The sequence below is a fragment of the Homo sapiens genome, chromosome 15 (assembly GCF_000001405.40).
Source record: "Homo sapiens chromosome 15, GRCh38.p14 Primary Assembly".
NCBI lineage: Eukaryota > Metazoa > Chordata > Mammalia > Primates > Hominidae > Homo > Homo sapiens.
This window is the reverse complement of record NC_000015.10, coordinates 44310356-44326436: the sequence shown is the minus strand read 5'-3', so window position 1 is coordinate 44326436 and position 16081 is coordinate 44310356. Positions and strand designations below refer to the sequence as shown.

The 16081-nt window shown below is 40.3% G+C and overlaps 1 protein-coding gene across 3 annotated transcripts in view, besides 1 other annotated feature; it reads right to left on the bottom strand.

Moving 5' to 3' along the window:
• GOLM2 (golgi membrane protein 2) overlaps nt 1-16081 on the bottom strand; it is a 127040-nt gene that overhangs the window by 89322 nt on the left and 21637 nt on the right. For all 3 annotated transcript variants that reach the window (NR_157849.2, NM_138423.4, NM_177974.3), the window contains exon 2: nt 3418-3472. Coding sequence is in view for 2 of the 3 variants with exons in the window: in NM_138423.4 (NP_612432.2) it covers nt 3418-3472 (55 nt within the window). In the remaining variant the exon portion in view is untranslated. The remainder of the gene's footprint in view (nt 1-3417; nt 3473-16081) is intronic.
• Nucleotides 6911-7140: an enhancer, noted in NCBI's record as "active region_9336". NCBI's record gives its function as "activates an Ori minimal core promoter by ATAC-STARR-seq in GM12878 lymphoblastoid cells {active_cell/tissue: GM12878}" and the evidence as "EXISTENCE:reporter gene assay evidence [ECO:0000049][PMID:35858748]".

Below are 16081 nucleotides of genomic sequence, written 5' to 3'. Positions count from 1 at the left end.
TAAGTCACATAAACATCTGCTGAGACACATAATGCTTAACAATATGCATAATAACTATTGTATAATAATCAAGTATGAAAAAATCAATGATTCATATAAAATATTTGTAGTTAATCATTATCTTTGCATATTCAAGCCACATTTTAAATTTCTTTCTTTTTTTTTTTTTTTTTGAGACAGAGTCTCTAGCTCTGTTGCCCAGGATGGAGTGCAGTGGTGCGATCTCAGCTCACTGTAACCTCTGCCTCCCAGGTTCAAGCGATTCTCCTGCCTCAGCCTCCTGAGTTGCTGGGATTACAGGCACCCACCACCGTGCCCAGCTAATTTTTGTATTTTTAGTAGAGACAGGGTTTCACTGTGTTGGCCAGGCTGGTCTCGAACTCCTGACCTTGTGATCTGCCCGCCTCAGCCTCCCAAAGTGCTGGGATTACAAGCGTGAGCCACCGTGCCCAGCCAAATTTCTCTTTTTATAATATTAATTCTCCAATATGTAAACATGGTTGATTTACCCCCCATCTCAAATAAAAGTGATGGATCTGTGGTGGCCAGGTAGCCATAAAAAACCCTTTCAGCTTGTTGCCTGATCCCTGTCTCCATCTCCTAAGATACAGCAGGCCAGAGGTACCAGAAACCCTGGCCCCAGCTATGAATGCTGATTCTATAGAGACAATGAGATCACAGTAGGAAGCAGTAGCAAAAAGCCTTGTGGCTAAGGGATCAAACTAGCTAGTTCAGTAAACCTGTGCTCAGGCTGGATAGTTTCTAGAACTGAAAGCTAAATTTAAAAACTGTAACTAAAAAACAAACAAAACTTAACAACTACCAGAAAGAGACTTCAATTGGTGATCTTTCGGACTCATTCTCCTCGGGAAAAAGGGAACAAAAAGATTACAGTCCCTTCTGATTCAGGCTATGCTGTAAAATACCTGAAATAGCTTCAGAATGAACCTGAGGCTTAGTATGATTTTAAGATTCTTGGATGGCTTCTCTGTCCCCCCACAAAGCTTCCCATTGATGGTATTTGAAATTCATCTATCAGGAAATAAAATTTTCCTTTGTAATTGAAGATAAAAGACTTAAAATACAATTGACAAAGAAAAATAAAACATTAATATGAGTTTTAGCCCATGTAAAATATGATTATTTCCTATTTGAATACAGAGAAAGATCATAAAGCAGGGAGGTAATTGGTGATTTCCAGTGGGTCAAAACAGAGATTTGCAAGGGGAAAAGTAAGAAGACCAGAAAGCAAAACAAAGAAGAAAGAGGATCAGGAAAAATAACTGATGGATACTAGGCTTAATACCTGGGAGATGAAATAATCTGTATAATGAAGCCCCATGACACATGTTTACCTATGTAACAAACCTGCACATCCTGCACATGTACCCCTGAACTTAAATAAAGGTTAAAAAAAATCAATTTTACTTTTGACTGATTGGCATGTGTTTTCTTTATATGAACCCAGAGATATTCTGTCTAGCGTGGCTGCTCCAGGTCACCGTAGCAGAACTCTTAGAGTAAGTTAACACGAGTCAGGTTGATTGTACAGGACGCTCTATCTTTGAAAGCAACACCAGTTATGTTATAGAAAGACATGGCTGTACTCCCTTAGTTTAACTTCAAAAGATTAGGGATAGGTAAGAAATGGGTTGCCTGGGGCCAGCTTTAAAAAAAAAAAGAAAATTACTTCTAGAAAACTTTGACTTTGAACTTTCTTTCAGTAACAGGCATAAAAACAAGGTAAGCTAATCAAAATAAATCTGATAGTAGAATGTCAATTTATTACCTCAATGATTGAAAAAACCAACTTTCCTTTATTTCCAAGAAAATATAAACCATCTCAAGTGTCTTAGTGTCTATTAATTCTACTATAGCAGATATTAATTTCAAAGAAAACTTGCCTATAAAAGGCAAGTTTTCAAGAAGTTTGTTTCAGTAGAAATCATTCCAGTTGCAAAAGTCACATTATTGAATTTCAATTTTAAATTTTTAAATTCAAATTTAAGAGCCCAAGCTTCAAAACCAAAAGTTGTATAGCTATACATACAAATCAAGACCTTTTTCTCTGCTGAAGAGTATCATACACAATTTCAAAATATCTCAAGATCTACTCCAACACATATGGTACAATAAAGATTTTTACTCAGTAACACAGGTTGTCATTTTTGTTGACACATACTAACAGAAGCCACAGGACTTCTTATTCAACTGATCTATTTAATAAACAGTTAATAAGCATTAAGTTACTGCTTTAATAAGCCCTAATAGTATTTCTTAACATTTAATAAGAAGTATACTTTGATGACAAGTGAAAGCATTTGTAAAAATTGCAAGTTGGAAGCAGCACTGACACTGTGGCATCTTCTGTGTCATCCTAATATATTTTGGTGAGTCAAAAAGAGAACATGGACACAGATGCAACAAAAACCCATGTGATGACCCAGAAAGCATTTCTAACAGAAAATCAAAGCTGTTCTAAATCATGGATAATAGGAAATCAACAACTTATTTTAGGGTTACAACACACAAAAACACTTCCTATTGATTGTGCTAGGTAAGGAGAAAAATTTTACTACATTACAAAGCCAGCTAAGGTTGGCTACTTCGAGAGGACAATAAAAATAGATTATCTAAGTATATCCAAAGAGGCTCAAAAGGATAATAGAATAAAGGATATTTTTGAAGCTAGAGAGCATGTACTACCCACATACATAAACCTAGAGACAATGCATGCAAAATTTTAAAATACAGTATTATAACCAAAGGGTGTGAGGGAGATGAGGATTGTTCCTCAGAACCCAAACTTCAAAGGCTAACAGCTATGGCATGAAGTAACATAAGCAGATTGCAGGGCTTTTTTTTTTTCTCCATAAAAGCTGTAGTACCTCTTTATCACTTCATCCAAGTAAAAATATGTGTGTGTATTTTTATATTTATTATTATTTATTTATTATATATTTATCTATTTTCCAGGTTTCTTTCTGTTCCCAGGGTATCTAAAACCTTAAGCTTGGAGGCTCTATCCAAAGCATCCCTAGACCTGAATGAATTAATTTAGCAGATTGGACACAGTACAGAGGGAACACTTCTCACCTTTTCCCTAGAAATTTGATGGCTTCTGAAGCTACAGCTCAATTTTTTTTTGAGTATTCTCTTAAGAACATTTCATTGCATAACCCTGTCTGTAGCTCAAGGTTAAGACACAGATCTCAAATTTTAACTTGGATTTATCATATATAAAGCATCATTAAATAATTTATTATATCTTAAGGCAAAAGGATAAATGTTTTACCATCAGAGGAGTTTGTTCAGAAAATTGTATTTCACTAGGCTAATTTACTATTTCTTAATTCTTCACAATTTTAGGCATTTAGTGACCTTGGTTTATCTTTAATCTGGAATTAAGGTTCTTACCCTTTAAATGATGTATGTCTGCCATCTGATACGATATGTTGTTCTGTAGTTTAACCTGAAAAAAAATTAAGTTCTCATTTTACTAAAAAATATGTAGTTTTGTTCATTTTTTTGGTTCATATTCACTTTGAGCTTGATCATAAATGCAAACAAAAAACTCTGGTTATTTATTTATACTCTACCTCTTTCCAAAAAAAATCAGCAATAATTCTGATCTTGTAATGCTTACTTTAAATTTGCACAAGAAAATTCATTTCAATTGATAAACAATGTAACAACTTTAAAAGTTTTAAAGTTTGAACTGAACATCACATAATGATTTTTTTCTAAAACTCAGAGCTATGGTCACTGTCTTCTAGGAGCCAGTACATAAGAATACTAAGAACTTAAAAGTATACGAAAACATGACTCAAAGGCTTACCAGTCAACTTAAAAATTAAAATAAGACCTTGGATAAGCCAGGACCTCGTAGACAGGGAACTAACCACTCTGTCTCAGTTATTGCTTTAGACAAGTTTGTTCTAATTGTAAAATGTAACTAAAATATCACTAAAAATACATCTCTTGTCTACCCCAAAGTAACTTTACTTTGGAAGGCACAGGCAGATTCACATTAATCAGAAGTAGCACCATGGAAAAATGATTTGTTTTTTTATACTGAGTCTCACTCTGTCGCCCAGGCTGCGGTGCAGTGGTGCGATCTCAGCTCACTGCAACCTCCACCTCCCAGGTTCAAGATATTCTGCTGCCTCAGCCCCCAAGTAGCTGGGACTGCAGGTGCGCACCACCACACCCAGCTAATCTTTGTATTTTTAGTAGAGATGGGGTTTTACCATGTTGGCCAGGCTGGTCTCGAACTCCTGACTTCAAGTGGTCTGCCGGCCTCTGCCTCCCAAAGTGCTGGGATTACAGGCATGAGCCACCACGCCTGGCCTGAAGAATATATTTTTAAACTTTTTTTTTTCAGAGTCTTGCTTTGTCAACCAGGCTGGAGTACAGTGATGCAATCACGGTTCACTGCAGCCTTGACCTCCAGGGCCCAAGTCTATCCTCCTATCTCAGGCTCTCAAGTAGCTGAGACTACAGGTATGTATCATAATACCCAGTTAATTTTTAAAAATATATTTTTTTGCAGAGACGGGGTCTTGCTATGTTGCCCAGGCTGGTCTTGAACTCTTGGACTCAAGTGATTCTCCTGCTGGCCTCCCAAAGTGCTGGGACTACATGCATGAACCACCATGGCCAACCTAAACTTTTTATTTTAAAATTAATTACAGATTCACAGGAAATTGCAAAGATAGCAAAGAGAGGTCCCAGGTAACCTTCACACAATTCACATAATTTCCCACAATGGGTGCATCTTATGTAACTACAGTACAACATCAAAACCAGGAAACTGACATTGGTACAATATGAATGTATAGCTCTATGTCATTTTAAAATATGTGCAGATTTGTATAACTACCATCACAATCAAGATGCAGAATACTTTTATCATCACAAAGATCTCCCTCATGCTATCCCCCCACCCCCCCTTTTTTTTTTTTTTTTTGAGACATGTTCTCACTCTGCAGACCAGGCTGGAGTGCAGTGGCAAAACAGCTCCCTGCAGTCTCCATCTGCAGGGCTCAAGCGATCCTTCCACCTCAGCCTCCTGATAGCTGGGACTACAGGCATTTGCCACCATGCCAGGTTAATTTTTTTATTTTTAGTAGAGATGAGGTCTTGCTATGTTGTCCAGGCTGTTCTTGAACTCCCGGGCTTAAGCAATCCTCTTGCCTTGGTCTCCCAAAGTGCTGGGATTACAGGAGTGAGGCACAATGCCTGGCCCATGCAATCTGTTATAGTCACCCCCAACCCCCAGTCCCCCACCATCCCATGTCCAGCCACTCAATGGGAAAGTATAAAACAACTAAGAAAACATGAGAGTAGTCTCAAGAAATTAGACAAGGCACCATCTAAAGCAGTATAATTACTACAAGAATCCAGAGATCCGGGAAAACTTCATGGAATTGATTATATCTGTATTAGGCATTGAAAGTTAGGTAAAAATTTAAACAGATGGGAAAGGGGCATTTCAGATGGAGGAGATGGTATAAGAAAAGATACAGTGGCAAGAAAGCATGAGGTATACCTCAAGACTCCACCAACATACTGTCTGACTGGAGCACATGAAAAGAAGAGTTGGAAAGAAAGATGGAGTAAAAAGACCATGGAGTATCTTTCAGTCCCAGGTAGAGTGTATTCTTCAATCTGAGAGCCCACGACTTTCAAATTTAAAATAAAAGTTTGTCCATAAATAGATGAAAATATAAATGTTCTAGGTGAAGCAAGAGAAGGAGTCTAGGGGGTCCCTCTTTTTCACCCCCCCGAGTCCTGGGTGCTTTGAAGAATGAAGTTTAAAATATACAGCTAGGTCGGACACAGTGGTTTATGCCTAGAATCCCAGTAGTTTGGAAGGCCAAAGCAAGAGGATCACTTGAGGCCAGCAGTTCAAGACCAGCCTGGCCAACACAGTGAGACCTACAAAAACTAAAGAAAATAAAAAATGAAATTAGCCAGGCATGGTGGAACATGTCTGTAGTCCTAGCTACTTAGGTGACTGAGGTAGGAGGATCACTTGAGCCCAGGAGTTTGAGGCTGCAGTGAGCTAGGATTGCACCAGTGTACTCCAGCCTGGGAGACAGAGCAAGACCCTATCTCAAAAAATAAATAAATAATGAAATATAATGTTGATATTCAGTAAGAAAAAAGGAATAAAGTACTAGAACATGATAAAATATGGATGAGCTTGGAAAACATTACATATGCTAAATGAAAAAAGACAGTCACAAAAGTTCAAATATTATCTGATAGCATTGATATGAAATGTACAGAATAGGTAAAGCCATAAAGAAAGAAAGTAGATTAGTGGCTGCCAGGGGCTGGGGGCAGGAAGGAATGAGGAGTGACTTTTTGTTGAGCACAAGGTTTCTTTTGGGGGTGATGAAAACGTTCTGGAATTAGACCATGGTGATAGTTGCTCAACATTTTAGATATAGTAAAATGCACTAAATTGTACACTTGAACAGGATAAATTTTATGGTACATGAATTATACGTCAATTTTTAAAATGTAAAACAAACAAAAATGGCCAGGTGCAGTGGCTCACGCCTGTAATCCCAACACTTTGGGAGGCTGAGGCAGGCAGATCACCTGAGGCCAGGAGTTTGAGACTACTCTGGGCAACATGGCAAAATCCCCTCTCTACAAAAAATACAAAAACTTAGCCAGGCACAGTGGTGCATGCCTATAGGCCCGGATACTTGAGAGGCTGAGGTGGGAGGACTGATTGAGCCCTAAAGGTTGAGGTTGCAGTGAGCTGTGACTGCACCACGGCACTCCTACCCTAGGTGGCAGAGCGAGACCCTGTCTCAAAAACAAAAATGAAAACAAAACCAACCAAACAAACAAAAACCCCACTCACACATTACTATGGGGTATCATACAGGAAACTGGAAGGCCAGGCGTGGTGGCTCATGCCTATAATCCCAGCATTTTGGAGGCTGAGGCAGGAGGATCATTCAAACTCAGGAATTCAAGACCAGCCTGGAAACACAGTGAGATCTCATCTCTAATAAAAAATAAATAAATAAACAGATTAGTCGAGCATGGTGGCATATGCCTATAGTCCCAGCTACTTGGGAGGCTGAGGTGGGAAGATCACTTGAGCCCAGAAGTCAGGAGTGCAATGAGCCATAATCAAGCCACTGCACTTCAGTCTGGGCAACGGAGCAAGACCCCATCTCAAAAAAAGAAAAATGGAAACTGAGGATAACACAACAGACAAACACTATGTACTCAAGGAGCTTACTATTTAGGAGGGGAGTCAAGTAAATAGGCAATCATAATACCGTAAAATAAATGCTATCATTCGGTTCTACAGACATGATGGGCGAACTTAATAGAAGGATTTAATACAGCCTTCATGGAGTGAGAGAAGGCTTCTGGAGATGATGATGATGACTGATATGAGTCCTGCAGGAACCAGGTATAAGTAGGGAGAAGATAAGGAAGAAAGGCATTCAAGGCACGTGTCAAAACTTAGATATGAAAAACACTTAACATTCTAGGAATTATAAACAATTCCCAGTAGCTGCAACAGAGAATTAGGGAGAACTGGTAAGAAATATGGCTAGAAAGGTAAGTAAGGTTCACAATTATGAAGGGTCTTCCAAGAAACATGGATTCATCCTGTAAGCTATGGTCAATCTTTAAAGTTCTTTTAACAAGGTAGTAAAATTCAACTTCCAATTTTTTTTTTTTTTTTTTGAGACAGAGTGTCGGTCTGTTGCCCAGGCTGGAGTGCAGCGACCCAATCTCTGCTCGCTGCAACCTCCACGTCCCAGGTTCAAGTCGTTCTCCTGCCTTAGCCTCCCAAGTAGCTTGGACTACAGGCACATACCACCACACACAGCTAATTTTTGTATTTTTAGTAGAGACAGGGTTTCACCACATTGATCAGGCTGGTCTCAAACTCCTGACTTCAGGCGATCCACCCACCTCGGCCTCCCAAAGTGCTGGGATTATGGGCGTAAGCCACGCACACCCAGTCCCAATTTGCAATTTTAAAAAGTCAATCTGGCTGCAACATGAAGAGTAGACCAGAGTGGGCAAGATGAGAAGGAGGGAGACCAAGTACTACTGCCATATCATAGGTGAGAATGTTGGTCTAAGTCAGAGGTGGGCAAACTATGGCCTGTGAGCCTGTTTTTGTAGGGAAGGAAGCTAAGGATGACTGTTACATTTTTTTTTAAATAGCTGAAGGAAAAAATCAAAAGAAGATTTTATGATATATGAATTACATGAAAATGAAACTTCAGTGTCTACAAATAAAGTTTTATGGGAAAATAGCCACACTAATTTGTTTACATATTGTATGTGGCTGCTTTTGAGCTACAGTGGTTGTGGCAGAGACTATATGGCCTGCAAAGCCTAAAGTATTTACTATCTGGACTTTTACAGAAAAGGTCTTTTCAATTTCTGGTCTAAACTAATAGAATCAGAAAAGAGAGGTAAATACATGTGAGATATTAAAGGGGAAGAATAGTCTTGTGGAATTGATTATATACAGGCGTAAAAGGAGAAACATCAAGTATGATGCTTAGATTTCTAATCGGGGTGACTAGATGAGTAAGAATATAATTTTCTGTAATAGGGAAACACAGGAAGAGGAACAGACTTGGGGTCAGGGAGAGAATTGGGGAAATGATTTTTTGAGATTTTGACCTATTGATTTTGAGGCATCTGTGACATATCCAAGAAGAGATCTTCAGTAGGCAGTTGGACATATGGAGCTCGGGCGACGACCAGAGAGCCATTCACATTCAAATGGTAATCCAGGTCATAGGAATGAGATCACTGAGGGAAAGCTACAGGGGAAGCAAAAAAAACCTGACACCAACAACTACAGTATTTGATCAGTTTGCTCACTCAGAACTGCTCCGTAATAACTTCCAATTAGCCTGTATTTTACTTTGTTTCCCAATTCCTTCATTTGCAGAACCTAATCTCTTTTTGTACTTGTTGCCCTTCCAAGAACATCATCTTCCTTTGTATTCATTTTCAACACTTTGGTTTTTTATTTAAAAAAACACTTTTTTTGAGACAGGGTCTTGCCCTACTGCCCAGGCTAGAGTGCAGTGGCATGACCACAGCTCACTGCAACCTTGATTTCTCAGGCCCAAAAGATCCTCCCACCTCAGCCTCCCAAGTAGCTGGGACCACAGGCATGTGCTACCACGCCCAGATAATTTTTTTTGTCTTTTGTAGAGATGGGGGGGTCTCACTTTTTTAAATCAATTTTTATGATGCTATGCCAGGTTCTCTGTACTCCATTTTAAATCTGCTTCTGAAATTGGTAGAGGTATGCTCTTCTTAAATATTAGGCTGTGAGTGGCTTCAGCTTCCCTGAACTGTCTCTTTCATATTCTTATACATTGGAAAAAAATTCTAATGGAGGTGGGGAAATTCAATCTATAGTTGAATATATATATTCAGCCTGGGTCCCTCTGTCACCCAGGGTGGAGTGTAGTAGCACAATCTCAGTTCATTGTAACCTCTGCCTCCCAAGCCCATGTGATCCTCCCACCTTAGCCTCCCGAGTAGCTGGGACCACAGGCACAGATGACCACTCCTGGCTAAATTTTTGTATTTTTGGTACAGACAGGGTTTTGCCATGTTGCCCAGTCTGGTCTTTTAGCTCTTTTTTGTTTTTTTTTTTTTTGAGACAGAGTCTCACTCTGTTGCCCAGCCTGGAGTGCAGTGGCACAATCTCGGCTCACTGCAACCTCCACCTCCCGGGTTCATGCCATTCTCCTGCCTCAGCCTCCTGGGCAGCTGGGATTACAGGCGCCTGCCACCACGCCCAGCTAAGTTTTTGTATTTTTAGTAGAGACGGGGTTTCACCCTGTTGGCCAGGCTGGTCTGGAACTCCTGACCTCGTGATTTGGCTGCCTCGGCCTCCCAAAGTGCTGGGATTACAGGCGTGAGCCACCGCGCCGGGCCAGCTCTTTAACTCCTTTGGCTTTAACCCTTCCTCTGAGAGCCTTCATTTAATATCTCCACCACCATCCCCTCACCTTCAAAAGAAAGCTTAACTTCCCTTCTAACTATTCCTTCTCATAGTTCACTGTTTTTTCATTTTTTTTAGAGATGGAGTCTCACTGTGTTGCCCAGGCTGAACTCGAACTCAGTAGCTGTGACAACAGGCTCAGGCCACCACACCCAGCTCTCTCCTCACAGTTTTAATTTCCTTGTGGTCATTAGGAATATGCTTATCTTCTAAATGACTGCCAAAACGTCCCTGCTGTTGAGAAATTAATTGGAGTTCTTACTATTACATGACTAGAAAAAGAGATTATCTTCATTTTGCCACACATATTCTCTGTTGAACTGATCATGCTTCCAGAATATTTTCACTTTTTTTCTAAATATATTCCACACAGGTAACAGCACATAAACTTCCTGATACCCATAAACACTGAATAAATGTTTGCTCAATGATCCCCTAGACTTTTATGTCCCATACTCTTTGTACTACACACTCTCCTACCTTAAGTTATACTTTATCCATATTTGCACAATTTTAATTATTCTTCAAGGTTTCTTTTGAGCGCCTTCATTTATTTCCCCTTGTTATCGCCGTCATTGCCTTTAGGCTTTACCTTATCCCTCTCTTTTTGTAATACTTGTTTCTTTGGGATTTTGAGTCCATCTATAATAGGCCAATTATCCTTGCTCTGTTTGGCCTTTTCCCTGTGAATCTCTTAAAATGTGTTTACTGTCCTTCCTGAGACCTCTCTCCTGAGTTTTATGTTCTTTGTTTATGCTCTTTATTTGTTTTCCTCAGCAAGAATTCTTTTTTCCTGATACTTCCCTATAGTACTTCTTGTTCATCCCCAGCTACTTCATTTATTTTCCCTTAATCTTTCTTCCTGCAATATCAAAAACTTCATTTTTATTTTTCTACCAGCTCTCTTCTGAAGTTCTTTTCATGTTTCCCCATCCTACGTGGCTTCTCTAAATTAATTTTGGCAGCTCTTAACAGCTCAGTTGCTCTGCTTCTCTTTCCATTTGGGGGAACCTTGAAAATGGCTCAGCTGTGCCTGCTTTCCTTTCATTACGGTCTGTTCTTGGGCAATCAGCACAACTATGACCATTTATTCCAAAGGTTATATACAATTGGCTTACTACAGATGTCATTCTTGACTCCTTTTTCTCCACACCAGAAATATTTTTCTTGATTATATTTCATACTCAGATGATTTCTAGAGACAAGTCTATCTTCTGTAACATAACTGCCAAACCTGGCTGATGCTCAGAATCACCTGGGGAGCTTTAAAAAAGACATATTCTACTTCCAGTCTGATTCAGTAGTCTGGGAAAGGCCCAGGAATTTTAATTTTAAAAATCTTACGTGATTCTGATAAGCAGCCAGGTTTGGCAATTATTCATCTATAGCATGGTTAACACCTATACCAGCTGGATCAAAATGGAATAGCATTAATAATAACAAGCGGGTATTAAATGATTATTTTTGTGCCAGGTCCTAGGCTAAGTGCTTTACAAGCATTATCTCATTTAATTCTCACAACCTCCCTATGAAAGTGGGCATAGTTATTTTTCCCCATTTCACAAATGAGGAAACTGTGTCCTCAGTCATATACCTACAGGAGGTTTTGAATACTTTCTCAAATAGACCCCGTCCAGAGTCTGTGTCTGTGACTACTGTGTATATACTAGACCTGGTAGGTGATTAACATTTTTTATTCTCACTACTCATAGTTCACACAGAGTATGCAGTCAACATTCCAATCACATCTGCAACTTTTACTTATCTGTTAATGAATTACTGTCTTCTTAAACCAAGTTTTAGTATAATTTATATCCAGTTATCAGTTACATTTTTTTTTTTTTTTTGAGATGGAGTTTCACTCTTATTGCCCAGAGTGGAATGCAGTGGTGCGATCTTGGCTCACTGCAACCTCCGCCTCCCAGGTTCAAGCAATTCTCCCACCTCAGCCTACTGAGTTGGTGGGATTACAGGCATACACCACCATGCCCAGCTAATTTCTGTATTTTTAGTAGAGATGGGGTTTCACCATGTTGGCCAGGATGGTCTCGAACTCCTGACCTCAGGTGATCCACCTGCCTTGGCCTCCCAAAATGCTGGGATTACAGGTGTGAGCCACCGCACCCGGCCTACCCAGTTACATTTTCTTTTCTTTTCTTTTTTTTTTTTTGAGACGGAGTTTTGCTCTGTTGCCCAGGCTGCAGTGCAGTGGCGCGATCTCAGCTCACTGCAAGCTCCGCCTCCTGGGTTCATGCCATTCTCCTGCCTCAGCCTCCCAAGTAGCTGGGACTACAGGCGCCCGCCACAACACCCGGCTAATTTTTTGTATTTTTAGTAGAGACGGGGTTTCACTGTGTTAGCCAAGATGGTCTCAATCTCCTGACCTTGTGATCTGCCCACCTCGACCTCCCAAAGTGTTGGGATTACAGGCATGAGCCACTGCGCCTGGCCCCCAGTTACATTTTCAAAGAGAATAAACAAGGTCTTTGGTCTTGACTGGCTATAATGAACAGCACAAAGTTTTTTTTCATTCACTCATTCATCTTATTAAGAAATTTTATTTTATTGTGGTGCTTATTCATTATTTATTCAATCAGTCATTTATAAAGCACTTAGTGAGTACCCACTATGTGCTAGACCTAGGGATACAAAGGATTTGATCTTGGTCTGTTAAGAAGAATCACAAAGAATTACTATAAAGTTTACTTATTTAGTCAGTCAGCCAGTCACAAAGAAACATTTATTGAACACCTGCTAAGTGAAAGACACTGTGTAAAGCCTAAAGATACAGCAATATATAAGAAACAAGAGAGAAGTCTGGATAAAGGATACAGATTTGGAGTCATTAGCACATAAAGTGTAACAAGTTTTATAAGTGAGTATGATGACGTAGTAAGAGAGTAGAATGAGAAGATTACAGACACAAAACTATGAACTATAACATTTAATAATGAATACAGGTGAAGTCAGCAAAGGAGACTAAGAAGTAAACTGAGAGATAAGAAGCCAAGAACATAGAATGCTGGGGAAAAGATGCTGAGATTATCAGGAGTAGGAGGAGAAAATGCAGATGAAAGCAGAAAATGCAGAGATAAAATGTCTTTTCAAGAAATTTTCCTGGAAAGGGGAAGTAAGACAAATATTTTTTATTTTTGATATGGAGTTTCACTCTGTAGCCCAGGCTGGAGTGCAGTGAGTGGCACAATTTTGGCTCACTGCAGCCTCCACCTACTGGGTTCAAGCAATTCTCCTGCCTCAGCCTCCCAAGTAGCTGGGATTACAGGTGCCCACCACCACACCAGGCTAATTTTTGTATTTTTTTTTTTTTGAGATGGAGTCTTGCTCCGTCGCCCAGGCTGGAGTGCAATGGCATGATCTCAGCTCACTACAACCTCCGCCTCCTGAGTTCAAATGATTCTCCTGTCTCGGCCTCCCAAGTAGCTGGGATTACAGGAGCACGCCACCACGCCCAGCTAATTTTTTGTATTTTAGTAGAGATGGGGTTTCACCATGTTGGCCAAGATGGTCTCTATCTGCTGACCTCGTGATCCGCCTGCCTCGGCCTCCCAAAGTGCTGGGATTACAGGCGTGAGCCACCGCACCCAGCCATTGTTGTATTTTTTAGTAGAGACGGGGTTTCACCAGGTTGGCCAGGCTGGTCTCGAACTCCTGACCTCAAGTGATCTGCCTGCTTTGGCCTCCCAAAGTGCTGGGATTATAGGCATGAGCCACCGCGCCAGGCCAGACAACTATTTTTTAAATGCTGAGGAGCAAGCATAGACTGAGAGGGTGAATATAAGAGGAGGACTGGATTACTAATTCTACAAAGTCTTTGAAAAGATGGAAGACATTGGATCCAGAGAACAGGTAGAGAGGCTGGCCCTGGAGAATGGATGAACCTTCTTTTATTTTAACAAAGAGGAAAGACAGATGGGTACAGATGTAGGTATTCCTACAGATTTGGTAGTTAAAGTTTTATCAGTCCAATTCTTGGTCAAGCAGGAGACAAGATCACCTACTAAGCTTGAGAAAGGAGAAAAAAAGTTTAAATGGGCCTAAGGAGGGCAAAGATCTGAAAGCTGTTGGAAAGGGTGTGTTGCCTGGAGAAATATAATATGTAACGTGTTACTGAAAACCCAGTTGAGTTTGCTGATCATAAATTCCTGCAAATCTGGTTATATGATTTTCTGCAGCTGTGCTTGAAATTGGCATGTAAAAGAGAGGGTAATGGCAAGAAACTAAATTGAAACAAAATCTCAGCTGGATAGGGAGGAAAGTAAAGAATACATAGGGCTGCTAGAAAGGAAGAGGTAATAGATTAGAGGTCCAGATAAAGTTGGAGAACAATTATGGTTTATTCAGCGGTTTTAATCTCTTTCTTGTTACATTCTCCCAAGAACATGCAAGTTTGAAGTTCACAAACTTTAAATTTCAAGGATTTGAAATCCTATGTTAACGACTTGGCATGGTGGCTCAAACCTGTAATCCCAGCACTTTGGGAGACCGAGGCAGGTGGATCACCTGAGGTCAGGAGTTCGAGATCTCTCTGGCCAACATGGTGAAACCCCATCTATACTAAAAATACAAAAATTAGCCAGGCATGGTGGTGGGCACCTGTAATCCCAGCTACTTGGGAGGCTGAGGCAGGAGAATCGCTTGAACCCGGGAGGCAGAGGTTGCAGTGAGCCAAGATCGTGCCATTGCACTCCAGCCTGGGTGACAGGGAGAGACTCCATCACACACACACACACACAAAAGCAATCCTATATTAGGTTTATGTTAGAATGAATTAATAATCAAGACTTTTGATAGTTCATTAACATTGGCAAATATTTCTAGTTCTCATCCCAGGCCCTTCGAAGGACTGTCTCTCCCCACTCCTTTGAAGGTATGTGTTTTTTACCACATACACACTTACCACAATAATAAAAAAAAAAAGAAAAGCAATCTTTTTCAGACATCATGTCCTGAATTTCATTTGAAAAATACAGGCACTATGCCATTAATTCACATTAAAGTTATGGTGCCTGGAATGCCTCTTTAATTGGAGGCATTTCCCCAACATTTTTGGGGAAAAATGTTTTTCCTCTTAGGGAGGGGAACCATTTAGGGAAGTAAAACCTGTTAAGAAACTTTCCCCACTAAGCTCTAAAATAGTTTTCTCTTTTTCAGTTAAGGTAAGAAATACCACATGTAGCATCAAGGCAGTGGCATAATCTATAAGAATGGGTCATTTATAAGTAGAACATGTATAAGTATAAAACTACCTTGCAGGATTTGGTATGGAAAGTTTATATCCATATTCTTTAGTCATATGTTCTTTTAAGAACTTTTCCAGGTATGTATGTATGTTTGTTTTTTGCTTGTTCGTTTTGTTGTTGTTGTTGTTTGAAATGAAGTCTCACTCTGTCGCCCAGGCTGGAGTGAAGTGGCACAATCTCGGCTCACTGCAACCTCCGCCTCCCGGGTTCAAGCGATTCTCCTGCCTCAGCCTCCCGAATAAGTGGGATTACAGGTGTGTGCCACCATGCCCAGCTAATTTTTGTATTTTTAGTAGATATGGGGTTTCACCACGTTGGTCAGGCTGGTCTCAAATTCCTGACCTCGTGATCCGCCCGCCTTGGCCTCCCAAAGGGCTGGGATTACAGGCGTGAGCCACTGTGCCTGGCCTATGTATTTTTTAATTGACTGATTGATTGATTGAGACAGGGTCTTGTACTGTCATCCAGGCTGGAGTACAGTGGCACAATCATAGCTCACTGCAGCCTCAAATTCCTGGGATCAAAGGAGTTTGATCCCAACTCCTGGGATCCTACCTCAATCTCTCAGGTAGCTGGGATTATAGGTGTGCATCACCACACCTGGCTATCTGAATATGTATGTGTGTGTGTGTGTGTGTGTGTGGGTGTGTGTGTGTATATATATATATATATATACATATATATATATATAGAGAGAGAGAGAGAGAAAGAGAGACTCTCACTATGTTGCCCAAGCTGGTCTCGAACTCCTAATCTCAGAGAGATTCCCGCCTTGGCCTCCCAGCCTTTC